This window comes from Homo sapiens, chromosome 17, assembly GCF_000001405.40.
Source record: "Homo sapiens chromosome 17, GRCh38.p14 Primary Assembly".
NCBI lineage: Eukaryota > Metazoa > Chordata > Mammalia > Primates > Hominidae > Homo > Homo sapiens.
This window is the reverse complement of record NC_000017.11, coordinates 16,524,980-16,545,254: the sequence shown is the minus strand read 5'-3', so window position 1 is coordinate 16,545,254 and position 20,275 is coordinate 16,524,980. Positions and strand designations below refer to the sequence as shown.

Here is a 20,275-nt window from a genome sequence, read left to right as displayed (position 1 = left end):
TAGCATATTGATTCAGATTTTTACATTACCCATCCCTTTTTATTTCTTCCAAACTGTAGGGGATTACCACTTGATTCACAGGAATAAGCAGAGTTAGTATAATATGTAGGCAAAAAGCTTAAAAACAATTGATGAGACTAGGATTTAATGAGAAATGTATAGTAAGTTTTGGAGAAATGTATGATAAGCTTTGGAGCACAGTTTTTCTCTCCAGTCCTCATTTTTGATAAAAACAAATTATGATAGGCCCGTGTGTGTTGTCTGTAGAATAAACTTTAGTCCTATACATGGCCTGATTGTTTGCATAAAGTGCAGCAAGAAAGGTTATTTCTACACAGGCCTTTTGGATTGGCTTCGATGAAACTGTTCTACAAGGAATCTCAGATAAGACCTTTTAAAGCCAAGCCCAGCCATGGGTTTGTATCCTCAAATACCTGTGAGTTGGGTGATCCTCTCCTCTTGAGGCCCCAAGATAAACTCGGAGCTCCCAGACCTATTAGAAAGTGACACTCTTTACTGACCACAGGTTAGGAATCTTGTGCAGGGACTGTGCAGACAAGGTATGAGGCCAGTTCTCCCCAAGGGGCTTTTATTTGCTCTGCATGTCAAGCTTGATTCCTTAAAAGGAAACACACCCTCAAGCCTTGGTTAAAATAACCAGTTTTTCCAATGTGTCCTGTTGACAAAGAAAAATGGATTCTTATTGCACTGATGCAAAGAGCTATATTGCCGTTAAGTTAAGAGTACAGCTAGTCTCCAAATTCTAGAGGAACCAGGCAGAGACAAATAAATATGCTCCAAATTTTGTTCACAGGAGTATACCTTACTCAATTATTAAAGGCCATAAATAGTTTAAAACTTTTCTTGACTCTGAAAAACAAAACAAGGATCAGCAATATTCCAAGCAAAGTTAAAAACTCTGCTTTAACTTTCTGAGTGCAGTCCATTTACTTAACTCTTGTTTTGCTTGATATTTATGAACATATTAGTTCTTTGTGAGTCCCATACATTCTCTCTCTATTCCAATGTTACAATCTTTAAAGCTATTAAAAACCTGCATTTGAGAACACCTGTTGAACTCCTTAATAGAGCTTGATTATAAACCATTTTTTGAAAAGGAACAAAGCAGGACAACAATTGTCTGTGAATGACAAAATTTTCAGGATAGTTAAAAACATGACTGACAAAGAAGTTTATTTATCTTCATGGTTTACAATAACTTTACCCTTAATTATGATTGATAGCATATACTTAGACATTAGAATCTTAGAAATCCCATACAATTCTGAAACATATATTAGTATTATTCACCAAACTATAACTTAAATAAGATTGGACATCATTTTGGCAATCTCATGTGACTAAACATGTCAAATAATCCTGTTTACCTCTTTTCTGAATGTTTCAGGGCCCCTCTAAACCATTCAAAAAGTTAGGTATCAGGAAGGACAATTTCCAGATTGCCATAAATTATTTTGCCAAAATGATGACTCAAAAGGCAAAATCCTTTCATTAGCCTTTATTATGAAATGAAAATCTTGTTCAAAGCAAAATTTTACCCTTGCATTAGTTTATTAATGTTAACCCCAATTTGTTTACACGAAACCTTATAGATTATTCCATCAAATCCTAACCAATTTGACCATGAGGTGAAATCTTTTTTTTTCTTTTTTTTTTGAGATGGAGTTTCATTCTTGTTGCACAGGCTAGAGTGCAAGGGCATGATCTCAGCTCACTGCAACCTCCGCCTCCCAGGTTCAAGCGATTCTCCTGCCTCAGCCTCCCAAGTAGCTGGGATTACAGGCATGTGCCACCACCCCTGGCTAATTTTGTATTTTTAGTAGAAACGGGGCTTCTCCATGTTTGTCAGCCTGGTCTCGAACTCCCGACCTCAGGTGATCTGCCCGCCTCGGCCTCCCAAAGTGCTGGGGTTACAGGTGTGAGCCACCGCACCCGGCCAAGGTGAAATCTTTACAAACCTTTTATAACCCTTTTACTAAGGGGCAGATTAGTGTCTTAAGACCTCCTTGCTATGCTTTTATTTTAATGCTTAATTTATGAAAAGACCATATAGATACTATGGGAGAGGACGGTGTAGTGCTTCTACCATGCATTGCATTGCAAGGCAGCCCAAAGCCAATTGGCTTATTTTGTAATTAGCCCATCCCTGATGGGAGTCTCATCTCCCAGTGCAGGGTGAGGATGTTTCCTTATCTTCCAGGTGGCCAAGAGCATCCCTGATTTATAACTACTATTAGCCATCCCTTACAGTGTATTTTCTACTTGATTATTACACACCAAAGCTTTCTTGTAAAAATGCGAAGTAATTTCTGATACCCCCAAAACTCAAAACCATCAGATAACACAATGCAAAACAGAACAGAGCCTTTGATTTTGAGAGGGAATTATTTGCTTTTAATTCCTGGGGTTTCATGAGGAAAACAGAGGGTTTTTTCCCAAAACGGGGTCTGTGGCGCCTCCTCTGTGTTTCCTGAGGAGTCCCATGCTACCAGAAGTTATCTTAGGGCCTTTTATACATGCATTAAGAGTAGTAAGACAAAAAATGGAGAAAAATAATTCAGTCGGCTGAGATGAGCCTTTTTCCAGAAAAACAAGATTCAAGAAAAGAAAAAACATAAAGGCCTTTTAATATACCTATAACTTGATTTTCCACTTTTAATTAAGCTGAGCACTCTTTAAGAAAATTCTTCTAAATCCTTTGTTACTTGACCTTAGCCATGCCAAGCAGTTAAGATTTTTGGCTTTTGAACTTTACAATAAGTAACCTCACAGGTAAAACTAAAGAGCTTTAATTAGGTTATGACTTAACCAGGAGTGTAAAAGGTATTTTTAAAGGAGTGACAGGCAGCTTTTTTTTTTTTTTTTTTTTTTTGCTGAGACAGAGTCTTGCTCTGTCACCCAGGCTGGAGTGCAGTAGCATGATCTTGGCTCACTGCAACCTCTGCCTCCTGGGTTCAAGCAATTCCTCTGCCTCAGCTTCCTGAGTAGCCAGGACTACAGGTGCATGCCACCACGCCTGGCTAATTTTTGTTTTTTTAGTAGAGACAGGGTTTCGTCATGTTGACTAGGCTGGTCTTGAACTCCTGACCTCGTGATCCACCCGGACAGGCAGCTTTTGAAACTGTCACTGCAAAATTGTGACTGAGACAGTGGAAGAGATCTCACCCAAACAACTCCATTTTGTTTCCAGTCCCCAAACTGTCCTTGCCCATCCCCGGGCATAGGCTGAATCAAGTTGGGGAGGAGCTTGGTTTACAGTTTATAGTCTAAAACAAAGAAGATAGCAGCTGCTTCTCAAGATATACTTCCCTTTTGCCTGGGGACCAGACCAAGAAACTAGCTACAGGATTAGAAACCATGGCCCAAGAGCCATGCAATTGGAGGCTACAAGATTTTGACCCTCCCTAAACGGCTGTTATGATCAGTGCTTAAGATGTTTTGTAAACCCTGCCCTTGATGGATCAGCTGACACAGCCCAGACTGACAAACTGGCTTATCTGATTTAGCACAAGAAGACAGCCACCATTGTAAAATGGCGGAGACAAAAACAAAGTATTGCCACATGGTTACAGATTATGTTCCCATGACATGAAACAAGATGGAGGCCTGTAGCCAAGTTTGCCACTGGATACTTTGCTGGGCTGGTTTGAACAGCAGGCTTATGGGTTTCTGGGCCTGCATCCTGACCTAAGATACCTTTTCTTTAACAGAACCACACAGAAAGACATACAAAGAAGAGCAGATTGTTTACAGCTTAAGACCAACCTCACAAATCCTTTTTCATTAACTATAAATTTAAAGAAAACATAAACAATGATCTTTATTATCCCTTTTGCCGGTTTCCACAGGAAGAGAGAAGCCAAAAGCCTGACTGGTAAGAAATTTTTACCCTTTTGCCAGCATATCAGGCTTCTGGGCTGGGTTTCCTTCCCCCTAGCTCAACTCTATGCCAAACATTTTAAGGTTTGGAAAATTAACCTTTTCCATGTTGGAAGAACATTATAAAAGAGAAGCCATTTTAAACTGCAAAACAAGGAAAAACACCACAGAAAGGAGTTCCAATTAGGGTTGTCAGGAGGTATTGCCTCTTTTCCTATTGGGAATGGTGTTTCCCCTTTGCCTTCCCTATTTTTTTCTTTTCCCTTTTGGCCTTCTATAGGAGACATTACTTATCTCCAAAATTTTCTTCTGCTTGCAGAGCTGCTTATTTTACCTACAGTAAGGGTTTGCCTTAGCAGCAACATAACATCCCTTCATGAGAGGTTACATACCTGAGTTAAATATTGGAAAGCTTCCATATACTTATTAAGGTCATCAGAAAACCAGCCTAAGTCTCCCTTTACTTGCCAAAGGTCCTGCAATGAGAAGGGAACTTGAAGGGGCCCCAAATAAGGGGGACCCTCAGATGACTTCCCTGAAAGTTACTTTTTAAATTTTGGGGTACTGTTTTCCCTGGGCCTGCCTGATATGACTGCAAAAGAAAATAAGCCACTTTTTCTTCAAAGTTTCAAGGTCGAAAGAGTCCTAGTGCTTCAAAATACACTCAAGAGAAGTGCATGTTGAAGATGGTCTGTTACCCATCTAGAAAGAGAAGTGAGAATAAAAGCGTCCTTTTAGTCTCCTTCCTTTTGGTATGAAATCCAGGATGGAGAAGAAAGCAGTAGGAGGCGTCCCCCAACTATTTTCTCTTTTGTTCCTGGATTCCCAGCACTCATTTAAATGTTCCACCCATGACTGCAGGTGTGACCCTCCAAGCCATGGCACCAGAGGATCTGAGTTTTGGGCCATAGTCACGCTGTTCCCAAGCAATCAGTTCTCTGCCTTTTATTTACCTTTGACCTCCTAGACTTGGGTGGCCTGTGTGCCTCCCAAAAAATGGATTTGAAGAAAAACCATGTAATTGGGAAGAGACCCTTTAAGGGAGGGGATGTGATAGATTGAACTCTATATCCTGCCATTATAGCCCATGCTAAAGCATTTACCCATAGAAGAATGGTTCCGGTTAACTTCTGGACTTAAAATCCCCTTACTAATTAAGCACTGTCTTAGTAGGAGCCAGAATAGATGGCTTAAAGGAACATAGGAACTGAATGGCCGTTTTCCTGCCAGTGGGACAATATTGAGACTAAAATTTGGCCATGGAAGACATCCTACTCCTAACTGTTAAAAGCAGAAACTTCCCATTCTTAGAAGAGGCCTACAGCCTGATTTCTACTAGGTGGCTTAGAAATACCATGTGCTTGCCAGAGAAAACGTAGAGAGAGAGAGAGACACTTATTGAGTTACTGCATGCCGTGATTCACGATCTTTTCTAACAGACAGAATCCTGCACATTAGACACACAGAGAGACCACAGATAGAAAGAAAGTTTTGGCGACAGGGTAGCTGGAAGAGAGCCTTGAGACTAAAGAACAGATATAAAGTTGAAATCCGCTCCATACTCACCAGTCTCATGATTGAATTTCCTTTCCTGGCCAATGCACCAAAATGATACGGCTCCGATGAGTGGAGGAACACCAGGGTTCTTGGTCCTCATGCTGGTTTAGATAAAACAACATGGACATATGTGGAGTGGTTTTAAGGGGCAGATAGTTTAATAGGCAAGAAGAGGAAAGAAAGAAGGGAGAAGGAAGAAATAAGCACCTCCCTTGTACAGAGACGGGGGTGGTGGGAGGCTCCAAAGCCAAAAGAGGTCCCCCTCCCATACAGTTTCTTAAATTCAAATGTTTAAATGAGAACATCTCAATTCAGGATGCACCTCCTCCTACCAATTTTTCACTCAGATCTATCCCAAGTTTCAAAGCCATATAGTCAGTGATCACTCAGAACTATCTCATAAGTACCTTATGTGGTTTAACCTAAAACTAAATTGTTTTCATCCCCAAACCTCTTCTTTCTAAATTTATTATAACTTTGACAGGGGAGCTAGGAGCCACTCTCTTATTCACCAATAATCATTTTAGTCCTATTGGTCTTACAAGAAAGTTGGCTGTTTCATGCCTACAAGAGTAGAGGTTTTTTCTTGAAGAACAATTTTGGGCCATATCAAAATAAGATCTGCATCCAGAAATTGAAAAGTAATGCTCTCCACTGTAAACTGATTTTAAACTATACCTGGAATATTCATGCTGAGCACTATATTTTACATTAGAGTCATCCCTCATTATTGGTTCCAGGATTGGTTCTAGGACTCCCATGGATACCAAAATCCTTGGATGCTCAAGTAGCTGATATAAAAATGGCATAGTATTTGCATATAACTGATGTACATTCTCCCAAATACTTTAAATCATCTCTAGATTACTTATAATACCTAATACAATGTAAATACCATGTAGATAGTTTTACATTTTCTATTGCATTATTTTGAGGGTTTTCTGCTCAATATTTCCAATCTGTGGTTGGGTGAAATGCAGAACATGGCCAGGCACCGTGGCTCACGCCTGTAATCCCAGCACTTTGGGAGGCCGAGGTGGGCGGATCACGAGGTCAGGAGATCGAGACCATCCTGGCCAACACGGTGAAACCCCGTCTCTACTAAAATACAAAAAATTAGCCGGACATGGTGGCACACGTGCCTGTAGTGCTAGCTACTCGGAAGGCTGAGGCAGGAGAATCACTTGAACCCAGGAGGAGGAGGTTGCAGTGAGCCGAGATCACGCCACCGCACTCCAGCCTGGGGTGACACAGTGAGACTGAGTCTCAAAAAAATAAAAATAAAAATAAAAACCAGAAAGGCACTAAGAGATGCATAATAGGCAAGTAGGCACTCAATAAATATTGACTGAATGTGTTATTCTAATATGCACTGTGCAAAGTGCTGGCAAGATACAGTAGTTCAGAGAAGTGCTAAGTATTCAAAAAAGATAGATTTGCACTTTCTAGAATAAAGAAAGATGTCAACCATACTTTTTTTCTTTACTGCAACATTTGTATTTGCAGAGTGCTTTGTAATTACAAAGCATTTTTTTATTTTCACATTCATTTAATCTGTATGTGTTAGACTGCAGACTGGAAAGGGACTGACCCAGGTACCACCTCTCTTCTAGGACCCAGAATACCCATCATAGATGAAACTTAACTTTAAAATGACTGTGTAGTGGAAGAATGAAAAGTATTCATCTTGCAACCAGGATGAATACTTACCTCAACTCAGGATGCACCTCTCCCTGGAAAGGTGCATCCTGAGTTGAGATGTGCCTAGAAACCAGAGAAGAGAGATGGCCCAAACCTACCTGAGACCTAGCTGCAGAGCATGGTGGCCGTTTCTTCCCCTGCCTCTCAGAACCAGCAGGACTGTAAGCCAGGAGTTCAAGACTGCAGTGCACTAGATCCGGCCTGTGAATAGTCACTGCACTCAGCCCGGGCAACATAGCAAGACCACATCTCTAAAGAGAGAGAGGGAGAGAACGATAAAAAAGAAAGAAAGACTATAAAGAGCTGGGAAGGGAAAGAAGCCAGATTATCACACCCACCTTGACAAAATTCCCACCAATCAGTGGGCACTATATACCCTGCGATTCCCAAAGGAGAGGTCAAATGAGAGTCTAGTAGTAGTCCTACTCACTCCCAGATCTAGAAAAGCAGGCCATGAACTGTTATTTTGGCCAGCACCTCTCTCCCTGAATTCCCAGACCTAGGTGGAGACTGCTCTCTTTCTCTACCAAGAATTGGCAAACTACTGCTAGCTGGCGGCCCAAGCTAACACGCGCGCGCACACACACACACATTATTTTTACATTTTTAAACGGTTAAAATATTTCGTGACACGTGAAAATTACAGTGAAATTCAAATTTCAGTGAAGTTTTGTTGGAACACAGCCACACCTATTTGCTTACTGTCCAAGGCTGATTTTGTGCTACAACAGTAGAACTTTCAACCATAAGGAGATCGCAGAGCCTAAAATGTGTACTGTCTGGCCCTTTATAGAAGTTCACCAACTGCTTCTACACCATGGGGTGGGGTCTAGGTCTATTTACTAAGCCAAACGACCATCCAGGCAAAGAAATAAAAGAAGCAACACTCCTGGGGGGTAAAGTGGGGGAGTGTCAGAAAATAAAGTCAATTAGGAGAGCTTTGAAGCAGGGAAATGGAGTATAGAGGCACAACGCCAGAAGTCCAGGTTCAGAGAATAATCACTGAACCCCGCTCAGGAAGCAGGTGGACAATGCTGCTTAGAGCAAGGACGCCCTCTGTCGACATTTCCTTGATTGTGCGCCTATAACCTTCTAAAATCAGGGTGGAGGCATTCGAACGTAGAGCCTGCGGGAGGAGTTAAGTGGGCGGGTTCAAGAGGAGCGGTCTCTTTCTGGAGTGGCTGGTGTTCCTGTACTCTTTCGCCAAAGTCTTCCCAAAGGAAACTTGGGTTCCAGTTCGCACTAACAAGACACGCAACTCGCACTAACAGACGTGTATCCCTTTCCTCTCCCTAACTTCAGTCTTCAGTCCCTTACTCAAATAAGTTTGCAGAGAGGGCAGCTTCTCCGAAGTGAGTCCCCTTTTCGTTGTTTTTTTTTTCGAGACGGAACCTCGCTCTGTCGCCCAGGCTGGAGTGCAGTAGCGCAATCTCGGGTCACTGCAACCTTTGCCTCCCGGCTTCAAGCGATTCTTCTGCCTCAGCCTCCCGAGTAGCTGGGACTACAGGCGCGCGCCACCACGCCCAGCTAATTTTTGTATTTTTAGTAGAGAGGGGGTTTCACTATATTGGCCACCCTTTTTTTTCCTTTTCTTTTTGTTTTTTTTGTTTGTTTGTTTGTTTGTTTGTTTGAGACGTAGTCTCGCTTTGTCGCCATGCTGGAGTGCAGTGGCGCGATGTCGGCTCACTGCAACCTCTGCCTCCTCGGTTCAAGCGATTCTCCTGCCACAGCCTCCCGAGTAGCCGGGACTACAGGCGCCCGCCACCATGCCCAGCTAATTTTTTTATTTTTAGTAAAGACGAGGTTTCACCATATTAGCCAGGCTGGTCTCTTATCTCCTAACCTCGTGATCCGCCCGCCTCGGCCTCCCAAAGTGCTGGGATTACAGGCGTGAGCCACTGTGCCTGGCCCACCATTGGCCACCCTATTCATTATTAACTGAGACTCGTAACTGCACCCCAGCTCGACTTCCTCCCGACTCCGAGAGGCGGCGAGTCCACCCACTGGCGCGGTAACTCCCCTTGCTCGCCCCGGGAAATGGCCCGCAGTTTGGCTGAGACGGGTGGGACACCCAAGGGACCAATACCACCTTCCATAAGATGGGATTCGAACCTAAAACTCGTTCCTAACGGCCTAGGTGCAAGAGCTACCCCTCCCTGAACTACGACTTCCTCAGGTTTCAGAGCGGACAGCTCCACGGCCCAGAAAGAGACGCAGGGAGGAGCCCAGCTTCCGCCTCGAAAGGGACTCTGGGACACTGGGCGGGCCCAGGAACGCAGTGTTCTTGGGAAATGTGGTCCACAGCCTCCGCTGCGCAGGCGCCGTGGCCCTGCTCCACACGCGCACGGCTGAAGACCCCTATCTCCGAGAGCGCGCACGCACCCTTCCGGGGTACGAGAAGGCGTGGCGGATGCTGAGGCAGGCCCTACCGGTCTCGGTGGCGGTGTTGTGGTGAAGGCGGCCGGGTTTATTTAAGGCTGACTACGAATTTAAGTGGGAGAGACATGCAGTTTGTAAGATCTTCCCACCCCAAGGGGGAGATCGGCAGCGGAATGTGTCGCGCGCTGCCTTGGGTGCGCACCCACACACTGGCAATAATAAATGCTTGCTTTATTCCTTTATTTAACATCTTTCAAATTAATAATTTGTTCCCTAGGATACTCAAACTGACCAATGAGGTTTTGTTTATTTAGTTGTTTATTTGCTTGCTTCTTAAGTGTTGTTATATAACAAATTCATGTGACGTGTGTTTCAAATCCTTGTAGTTATTATTCCTATTGATACTCAAATTGTTCCGTCTTTGACCTGTGGAAGCCTTTTTAGGTTGATTCCTGAGGCCTTTAACATCACCCTAGTTGTCAATACTTCTTTGTTTTCTGAAATGATAAGGTATACGAGGTTCAACTGGCACACTTCTTTCCCCATACCTAGATTTAATGATTTCTTCAGGAGGCCCTGGTTCCTTTTGGTGGGAGATGGTATTTACAAACCACAATCTAGGTGCAAGGGCTACTCATCAGTGTTGAATAGTGATGTGTCTAGACCTCTCCCAAATAGAGCTACAGTTCAAACCGATACTCCCAATTCAAATTCAAGCAACAGGATTTTTACTTAACCTCATCAGTCTTATATCTGTATCTCTATTCTCCAATGTTGGAAACCCAAATATTATCAGTTATGCCAATATAATTACTCATTTACTTTATCAAACAATACACACATTTTTAAAAATTTCAGAACAATTATAATAGTACCACCACCATTATTATGGAAAAGTTTAAGATTTTTTAAAAATTATTTTTGTCCTTAGAGTATACCCTACTAGAGATGTACAGTCAAGTCAATGAAACTTAAAGTAACTTGGAATAATTTTTCTCTGGGTGTTATAACACCAACTCCACAGTGTAGTAGACCATATGATGGCCCCCAAAGATATCCAGGTCCTAATCCTTAGAACTTGTGAATGTTACTTTATAATGTCAGAATGGATTTTAGGTGTGCATAATTAGGGATCTTGAGATGGGGAGGTTATCCTGTTTTTCCTGGGGAGCTCTGTATGAAATTACAAATGCCTTATAAGAGACAGGCAGAAGAAAATTTAACAGGGGAGAAGATGATAATGTGACCACAGAGGCACATATTGGAGTGATGCAGTCATTAACCAAGAAATGCCAGTAATCAGAAACCGGAAGAGGCAAGGAATGGATTTTACCCTAGAGCCTTTGGAGGGAGCATGGCCCTGACAACATTTTGATTTTGGCCCAGTGAAACTGATTGCAGATTTCTTGCCTCCCAAACTGAGAAAGTGTTCCAAGACACCAAGTTTGTGGTGCTTTGTACAGTGGCCACAAGAAACTAATACACACAAGTTCCTTTGTTTCATTGTACTTTCAAGGTTTATGGATTGTTTTTTCTTTAATATATTTTGGTTTTAAAACTAGGAAAAGTTTTTTATGCTATCAAAGTAGAATCCACAAAACAAAGTACATTAGAGAAACCCAACTTCTATTCCTATGCCCTCTACCCAGTTCACTCCCTCTCCTGTAGCTAATCACTTTTAAATTTTATGGTTTATTCTTCCACTTTTTAGCATAAACAAATGTGTACATATATATTTCTATCCCTTCCATTCTCTCTTAAACTGTAGCATACTATTCACGCATCCATCCATCTTGTTTTTCCCACATAAAAATAAATCCTAAGGATCACAGAGATATTTCTCATTCCTTTTTACAGTTGCATATTACTATATTGTTTGGTTGTTCTACAGTGTATCCAAGCAGTCCTTTAATGACAAACATTTGGAGAATTTCCAAAAGGTGGAAAATAAGGAGAGAGAAAGAAACATAGATAAGGTGGGACAAATAGAAAACAAATAGCAAGAAGGTAGACTTAAACCCAAACACATTTGTAATTATATTAAACATAAATGGATAAATAAGAGAAGATCAAAGACTGTCAGACTGAATTTTTTAAAACTTACTTTGTTTATAAAAGATGCATTGTAAATTTCAGGGCACAAAAAGTAGAAAGTGAAAGCATGGAGAAAAGGTATACCACACAAACCCTAATCGAAAGTTAATGTTGCTATATTAATATCATGCAAAATACATTTTAAGGCAAGAAGCATTACTAGAAATGAAGAATAATATGATACAAGCATTAATCCACTAGATAATCATAACTGCACCTTTAAAATGTACCCAATAACTTAATCTCAAAATATATAAAGCAGAAACTGTCAGAATTGAAAGGAAAAGTAAATCCTGAATCATAATATGATAACATACCTCTGTCAGTAACTGGTAAAATAAACAGATTTAAAAAATCAGTAAAAGTATACACAGTTTAAAGAATGTGATTAGGGCAGGCATGGTGGCTCACATCTGTAATCCCAGCACTTTGGGAGGCCAAGGTGGGAGGGTCCCTTGAGGCCAGGAGTTCATGACCAGCCTGGGTAACACAGCAAGACCCCATATCTACAAAAAAAAAATAGAAAAATAAAAATTAGCTGAGTATGCAGGCCTACACTTGTAGTCCTAGCTACTTGAAAGGCTGAGGCAGGAGAATCCCTTGAGCCAGGAGTTTGAGGCTGCAGTGAGCCATGATCACACCACTGCACTCCAGCCTGGGTCTTGCACAGGGTCTTGCTCTATTGCCGAGGCTAGAGGGCAGTGGCACGATCTCGGCTCACTGCAACCTCCACCTCCTGGGTTTGAGCAATTCTTCTGCCTCAGCCTCCAGAGTAACTGAGACTACAGGTGCCCGCCACCACACACAGCTAATTTTTGTATTTTTATTAGAGATGGGTTTCCATATTGGCCAGGCTGGTCTCAATCTCCTGACCTCATGATCTGCCCGCCTTGGCCTCCCAAAGTACTGGGATTATAGGCGTGAGCCACCTCTCCCAGCCCAGTCATGGGTTCTTAGTTTCTGTTTCTGGTTGGGCCAGTAAAGCCCCTTCCTCATTCTTTTCCGCTTATCACTAGAGACAGAAACTAAAAACCGTGGCTTCAGGCTGCTAAAAGCCTAAAACAAAATAAAACAAAACAGAACAACACAACAACAAAATCAAATGGGTTGGACAAGCTTGCCAGATGTCCTCAGAATGCAGCACTCTTTTTGCTTGTTTGTTTTTTGAGATGGAGTCTTGCTCTGTCGCCCAGGCTGGAGTGCAGTGGCGCAATCTCAGCTCACTGCAACCTCCACCTCCCGGATTCAAGCGATTCTCCTGCCTCAGCCTCCCCAGTAGCTGGGACTACAGGTTCATGCCACCACGCCCAGCTAATTTTTTGTATTTTTAGTAGAGACAGGGTTTCACCATGTTTCAATCTCCTGACCTCATGATCCGCCCACCTCGGCCTCCCAAAGCGTTGTGATTACAGGCGTGAGCCACTGCGCCCGGCCGGAATGCAGCGCTCTTTACTTGGAGATAATGCCAATGAACAGGCTTAGGTTGAAGGATTATAATGGTCATGTAAAATCGATAATGCCTATAGCCCCTACCTTTAGTGAGTACGTAGGCACGTCCCAAGTTTAGTCATAGCTCCTTGTAGTTTCTTTTTATTTTTGAGACAGAGTCTTGCTCTGTTGCCCAGGCTGGAGTGCAGTGGCATGATCTCGGCTCACTGCAACTTCCATCTCCCAGGTTCAAGCGATTCAACTGCCTCAGCCTCCGGAGTAGCTGGGACTACAGGCTCACGCCACCACACCCGGCTATATTGTTGTATTTTTAGTAGAAATGGAGTTTCACCATGTTGCCCAGCCTGGTCTCGAACTCCTGACCTCAGGTGATCCGCCTTGGTCTCCCAAAGTGCTGGGATTACAGGTGTGAGCCACTGCGCCTGGCTTCCTTGAAGTTTCTTACAAGTAGAAGCACTAACAAAGGACGATGCATTCCTCCTCCTGCTTTCTGAGGATGCCCTACTCTGTAACAGGGTAGTTTCCAATAAACTTGCTTCTTTCACCGTGCTCTGTGATTCACTCTGAATTCTTTCCTACGTGAAATCCAAGAACCTGCTCTTGGGGTCTGGATCGGGACCCTCTTTTCTGGCAACAGGAACATGTGCACTCAGGACAGAGCTCTCCCAGGGGTAAAAGGATTTGAATATTATGAGTTCTCGAGCAAGTAGCTGACGTACTGGTGGTGGTGAGAGGAGATGTCTGGGGTGAATGTTCCAGAGGTAGAGGTGCTGGTGCTGGTGAGGCATGGGGATGCCAGTGTGTGTGTGTGTGTGTGTGTGTGTGTGTGGGGGTGGGTGGGGGGCGGGGGGTGGAGATAAGAGGTTCAAAGAACAGCAGGGCAAGTGGAACTATCATCCTGTGGACATTGACTTCATGGAGCATGAAGCTAAGGCTTGGGGTTTGTGAACAAAAGTCTCTAGAAGATAAGTGGGAAGCAGAGTGACCGGTGGGTTTGTGAGCAACAATAACAAGGTGCGCATGAAGCTGCGTCTTGGGTGCCATGAGGTTTAAAGGAAAATAAGCCAATCATTTTCATGTTGAACTTGGCTTAAACTTTCTCATCATTTTCTGTGCTCCGGGGATTCCTCTTATGTACATCATAGAAATGGCAGCTCGAAGGAGTAATAAAATATTTATGATGTACAATGAATGTAGATATTTGCAGCTTTTCATGTTTCAGATATTTAAACTTGTAAGAAAATTAAGGGAATGTTTAAAATGAAATTTTCAGCTGGGCGCGGTGGCTCACGCCTGTAATCCCAGCACCTTGGGAGGCCAAGGCTGGTGGATCATGAGGTCAAGAGATCAAGACCATCCTGGTTAACACAGTGAAATCCTGAAATCCCGTCTCTACTAAAAATACAAAAAATTAGCCAAGCGTGGTGGTGGGTGCCTGTAGTCCCAGCTACTTGGGAGGCTGAGGCAGGAGAATGGCGTGAACCTGGGAGGCGGAGCTTGCAGTGAGCCGAGATCGTGCCACTCCACTCCAGCCTGGGCGACAGGGCGAGATTCCATCTCAAAAAAATTAAAAAATGCAATTTTTGTATTTTTCAATGGCTTCATGCTGGAGAATTGAAATAAAATTGAGTAGTTCACTGTTTATCCAATCACACTTCATCTAAGAGAAAAGCACATCTGTAAGTCTGTAAAAATCTTTTTACCAAGTATAAGGCATTCTGAGAAAATCTCTTGTTATGGCTAGAAAAAGTAAAAGCAAATAAAAATCAGCAATGTTCAAAAAGAGCAGCTTTGTTGGTCTTTTCCATCAAGTGGGTAAAGATTTGACAGCTCTAATGCATGCTGCTGATAATTTGTAAAAGAGAATAGGGAGTACAATTAACTTGATTTGGATTTGGAAATTTGATTCAGTCTCATTTCCAGAGTTTCTGAATATTAACTCCAGTAGAAAAGTCCAGCCCCAGGAACAAAGCACCTTCTAGTTTCTCTAACTTCCCTGGTGGCAATTCCAGCCGGCCCTCAGGGCTGCGGAAATTGCAATGAGACCGTAATGCAGTCACAATGGACCTGTGTGATCAGGAATGTTGTAGCTTTGGCCAGGCTGTCAGCCAGATGTAACAAGACAAATTTAAACACAGTGTCCCTCTGCGCAGCCCCCCACCTTCCCAGATGCATCTAAACCTGGACCTCTCACATTTGGTTAATTCCAGAAGTCAGCTCTTCTCTCTTCTGTTACAGCTGAAGGTCCCCAAGAAGAGAAAAAATACAATTTTCACTTTTTGCCATGTTGGCCAGGCTAGTCTCAAACTCCTGGCCTCAAGTGATCCACCCGCCTCGGCCTCCCAAAGTGCTGGGATTACAGGCGTGAGCCACAATGCCTGACCAAGAAAGAGATTTTCATTAGATACCAAAAATAGCAGGCTGGCTTATTTTATGATGTCTAATATCCTTAATCAAATGTAAAATGTTTTTAAAACATGATAGATACAATTAAAATCCCCTATGAACCTCTCCTGCCTGAATCTCATTCCCTTGTCTTTTTCTGTACGTGTAACCACTTTTTAAATGTCTTTACACTTTTATATGTGCATGTATATACAAATAATATGTGAAATTTCACCTGTTAAGTAAAAAATGAAAATTTAAAAACTTTAAGTACCAGATTGTGCATTTCTTTCTGCAATTTGTCTTATCTCGTCTTTTTCAGATTTATCCATGTGGATTCCTATAGCTCCTGTTTATTCACTGTAACTACTGGAAAGAAGTCTATTGTAGGTGTTGTTTTATATACTTTGCCCATCTTTCTATTGAGTCTTCTTTTTCATATTGAATTTGTTAAGGAAAAAATAATTCAACGACACTTGCTAAAGCACAGTAAGGAAGACTTTATTCAGGACCATGTGGATGGGCATAGGGACCGCTCAACGGGGTCTTGGAGTGGGTGAGAGACAGAGATTGGGCTCAACTCTGAATACTGCCTGGGCAAGTGGGAGTTTATAACCAAGGAGCAGGGTGGCAGTCAGTGGGTGGAAAATTACTAAAAGGAAACATTACAGGTAAGGAGTATTCAGGCTAAACACACCTAACGGGACTCTGGCTGAAGACAGTCCAGGGTGACCCAACATTACCTGGGAGATGGTGGAGAGTGAGGAATCTGATCAGATATCCAGGTGATCAGAGCGTAGAGGCTGGCGGCACTGGCTGAACGGACTTGGCCGGGTTCTTTGCTAAAACTAGATTTACAAGTAACCGCACAGATGAGCCCAGGACAAGTTTCAGGAGCCTGACTAAAGTTTGGTCAAGCAGAGTCTTTATCAAATTATAGGAGTTCTTTCTACTTGTCAACGCTAATTCCCTCAGTCCGCCAAAGTACTCTCTTCTAATCAACACCAACTTCCCAGCTGAACCCAGTGACATTGTAGGGTCTTTGGCTCCTCACCTCTTCTCTGACTTTGTTGACATCGCGTGTGTAGGATGTGGTGTGGACTTCCCTTCCCCTGACACTGCTGCCTCCACTCACTTTGGAGACCTGCCTAGCTCAGGTCCCCACCCCCCATCTGGCATCTTCACATCAGTTCTTCCCTGTTCCCCTTTCCAAGGTTCTCCTGAGGATTTCATGGTCCACCCTCTGCTCTTTTCTCTCTGTGGTCACTCCCTTGCAGAGCTTGGCGTTTATGGCCACTTCAGTCCTCAATTCTCTGCGGGCAGCTCCCGGTGTTGGTCCTGTGGCCTCTTCTAGGCTCTACTCCCGTCTTTCCCACCTGCCTATGGGATGGCGTCACCTGATAGTCCATCTAATGTAGAAAGAACTGTCTCACCTTTAATATATTTTCCCCTCCCCTTTCTCATTACCCATAGCCTCTCTCCTCCCAGTGTTTTAAGTACAAGAGACTTTCGAGCAAGGAAGGACTAGTTTGAGAAACTTTAAACGGCACATATCAGTTTAACAAAAAAAAATTTGCAGGAAAATTTACCTTGTAATCATGGCATTCCTGGATAATCAAGGAGCTGGATTCAGGAAGAATGGTACCCACTGGAGCAGGATTTTAGTGTCCAGAATGTGCCTTGTTTTTTTAATTTTTTAATTTTAAAATATTTAATTGTCAAATGAAGGTTGCATATATTCAAGGTGTACAACATGATGATTGGTATACATTGTGTCATGATTACCAGAATCAAATTAATGAACACACCCCTCACTGCCCTTGCTGCACCTGAGATCCAGAGCTGGTTCCTTTTGTAACTCAGTTTGCACGCTGTGACCGACATCTCCCCATTTCATCTCCTCTCCATTTTTATTTCTTCCTTTGAATTGGCTTTGCTTACGTTCTCTTTTCTCTTTATTTTCTAATTTTTTTTTTACCATTTAATCACCGGAAGTATCTTTATTGTTTTTGATTGTACCTGATTGTTGTGGGTTGAATTGTGTCCTCCCAAAAAGATACATGATGTTGTAGTCCTGATCCCCGTACTTGTGAATCAGATCTTACTTGGAAATCAGGTCTTTGAGATGTAATCCAGTTAAGATGAGGTCTTGCTGAATTAGGGTGGGCTCTAATCCAATGGCTAGTGTCTTTGTAAGATGAGGGGAACTTGGACGGAGACACACAGAGATGAGAACACCCTATGAAGACATGCAGGAAGAAGGCCAGGCAAGGATGGAAGCAGTGATCAAAGACCAGGGAGCAAACCTGGGGCACACCAAGGGTTGCTGGCAGCCCCAGAAGCTGGAAGGGAAGAATGGAGCGCCTCTCCCTCGGAGCCTCCAGAAGAACCAACCCTGCTGATGCCTTGATTTCAGACTTCCGGCTTCCAAACAGTGAGAGAAGAATTTCTATTGTTTTAAGTCTCCCAGTTTATGGTACTTTGTTGCTGCAGCCCTAGAAAACCAATGCAAGTGGGAGTTTATAGTCAAGGATGATCACTGAAATTTTTAAAGCAAAACAGTGACAGGCCGGGCGCGGTGCCTCACGCCCGTAATCCCAGCACTTTGGGAAGCTGAGGCAGGCAGATTACCTAAGGTCAGGAGTTCAAGACCAGCCTGGACAGCATGGAGAAACCCCATCTCTACTAAAAATACAAAAAATTAGCCAGGAGTGGTGGCGGACACCTGTAATCCCAGCTACTTGGGAGGCTGAGGCAGGAGAATTGCTTGAAACCTGGAGGCGGAGGTTGCAGTGAGCCAAGATTGCACCACTGCACTCTAGCCTGGGTGACAGAGTAAGACTCCATCTCAAAAAAAAAAAAAAAGCAGAGATAAAAGTCCCTCGGTGATTTCACCATCACAGCTTCTTGTCACCCCCACTTAAGGAAACCTATTTAACAACTTGGAACACAGACTCCCGTCTCCTACCCGTGGATGCTTAGGTTTTCCCCAGCTGTTTAGTTTACTATGACAAATAATCCTGTTGTTAGCATCTATTATATGTGTGTGTATCTGTGTCAGATTAAATTTGTATTTGTAATGTTCGATTTTTTTAACCAAAAACAAATCTGACAAAATGTTAACCTCTGCTACATCTATGTGACAGATGTGTGGGTGTCTTATTTTCTATAGGTTTCAGTATGTTTGAAATGTTTTGTAATCAAAACTGTGCTCAGAAATCAATCAACCAGAATAGGAAAATGTCCCAGTTTCCATGATACTGTGATGTTAATTTCTTCTGATATCATCTATCAGGTGACAACTGCCCAAAAAAACCTATTATAAGTGTTTCTTTGTGTGTGTGTGTGTGTGTGTGTGTGTGTGTGTGTGTTTACATACATATAGCATAAAATGCACCACTTTAACTATTTTAATGGTATACCATGAAGTGGTTTTTGGTATATTCACAATATTGAGCAATCATTGCCACTACTTAGTCCCACAGCATTTTCATTACCCCATAAAGAAGCCTCGTACACACTACAGAGTCACTCCCTACTCTCCCCTCCCCCAGACCTTGGCAACCATTAATCTGCTTTCTGTCGCTATGGATTTACCCATTCTGGGAATCTCATATAAATGGAATCATATAATACGTGGCTTTTTGTGACCAGCTTAATTCTCTTAGCACATTTTTTAGCTTCATCCATGTTGTGACATGTATCAGCACTTCATTCCTTTTTATTGCTGAATAATATTCCGTTGTATGAATACAGCATGTTTTACTTACCTATTCATCCGTTCATGAGCGTTTGGATTTTTTCCACCTTTTGGCTATCATGAATAATGTTGCTATGAAAATTCACATTCAAATTTTTGTTCAGGCAGGGCATGGTGGCTCATGTCTGTAATCTCAGTACTCTGGGAGGCCGAGGCAGGAGGATTGCTTGAGCCCAGAAGTTTGAGACCAGTCCTAGCAATATAGCAAGATCTTGTATCTACAAAAAAAAAAAAAATTAATTAGCCAGAAATGGTGCCACCTGCCTGTAGTCCCAAGTACTTGGGGAAATGAGATGGAAGGATAGCTTAAGACTTGGAGGTTGCGCCTGTAATCCCAGCACTTTGGGAGGCCAAAGTGGGCGGATCGCCTGAGGTTGGGAGTTGGAGACCAGCCTGACCAACATGGAGAAACCTCGTCTCTACTAAAAATACAAAATTAGCCGGGCATGGTGGTGCATGCCTGTAATCCCAAGCTACGTGGGGGGCTGAGGCAGGAGAATCGCTTGAACCCGGGAGGTGGAGGTTGTAGCGAGCTGAGATCGCGCCATTGCACTCCAGCCTGGGCAACAAGAATGAAACTCTGTCTCAAAAAAAAAAAGAAGAAGAAGACTAGGAGGTCGAGGCTGCAGTGAACAGTGATCATGCCACTGTACTCCAGCCTGGTGGACAGAATGAGATTCTATCTCAAAAAAAAAAAATTAGTTTGGATACCTGTTTTCAATTCTCTTGGGTACATACCTACAAGTAGAATTGCTGGGACATATAACTATGCTTAACTTACTGGGGAAATGCCAAACTGATTTCCACAGTGGCTGCACCATTTTACATTCTCACCAGCAATGCAGGAGAGTTCCAATTTCTCAACAACCTTGCCAACACTTGTTATTTTGCACTGTTTTAAAAAAATTATTATAGCCATCCTCGTGGGCGTGAAGTGGTTTGTCATTGTGGTTTTGATTTGCATTTTCTCTAATGACTAATAACTTTGGGCATCTTTTCATGTGTTTCTTGGCCATTTGTATGCCTTGGAGGGATGTCTATTCAAGTAGT

General features: G+C 42.7%; 3 long non-coding RNA genes across 5 annotated transcripts, besides 1 other annotated feature; 1 reads left to right on the top strand and 2 right to left on the bottom strand.

The window, feature by feature from the left end:
- Window positions 1,169-9,357, bottom strand: LOC105371554 (uncharacterized). 3 transcript variants are annotated; one of them, XR_007065637.1, is made up of 4 exons: window positions 9,271-9,357; window positions 7,257-7,409; window positions 5,467-5,558; window positions 1,169-4,602 (listed from the first exon to the last, which is right to left on the bottom strand). It is a non-coding gene; the product is annotated as an uncharacterized LOC105371554 (long non-coding RNA). The 3 variants fall into 3 exon arrangements; XR_934254.2 differs by having other exon boundaries at window positions 1,169-5,558; window positions 8,476-9,343; XR_001753079.2 differs by lacking the exon at window positions 9,271-9,357 and adding an exon at window positions 7,849-8,597 and having other exon boundaries at window positions 1,169-5,558.
- On the top strand, window positions 9,030-9,779 carry LOC124903941 (uncharacterized). The gene is made up of 2 exons (XR_007065647.1): window positions 9,030-9,169; window positions 9,335-9,779. It is a non-coding gene; the product is annotated as an uncharacterized LOC124903941 (long non-coding RNA).
- Window positions 9,284-9,643: an enhancer, noted in NCBI's record as "active region_11768". NCBI's record gives its function as "activates an Ori minimal core promoter by ATAC-STARR-seq in GM12878 lymphoblastoid cells {active_cell/tissue: GM12878}" and the evidence as "EXISTENCE:reporter gene assay evidence [ECO:0000049][PMID:35858748]".
- Window positions 9,780-15,945: 6,166 nt separating the features above from the next.
- On the bottom strand, window positions 15,946-19,423 carry LOC124903940 (uncharacterized). The gene is made up of 2 exons (XR_007065646.1): window positions 19,236-19,423; window positions 15,946-17,960 (listed from the first exon to the last, which is right to left on the bottom strand). It is a non-coding gene; the product is annotated as an uncharacterized LOC124903940 (long non-coding RNA).
- Window positions 19,424-20,275: the final 852 nt, after the last annotated feature.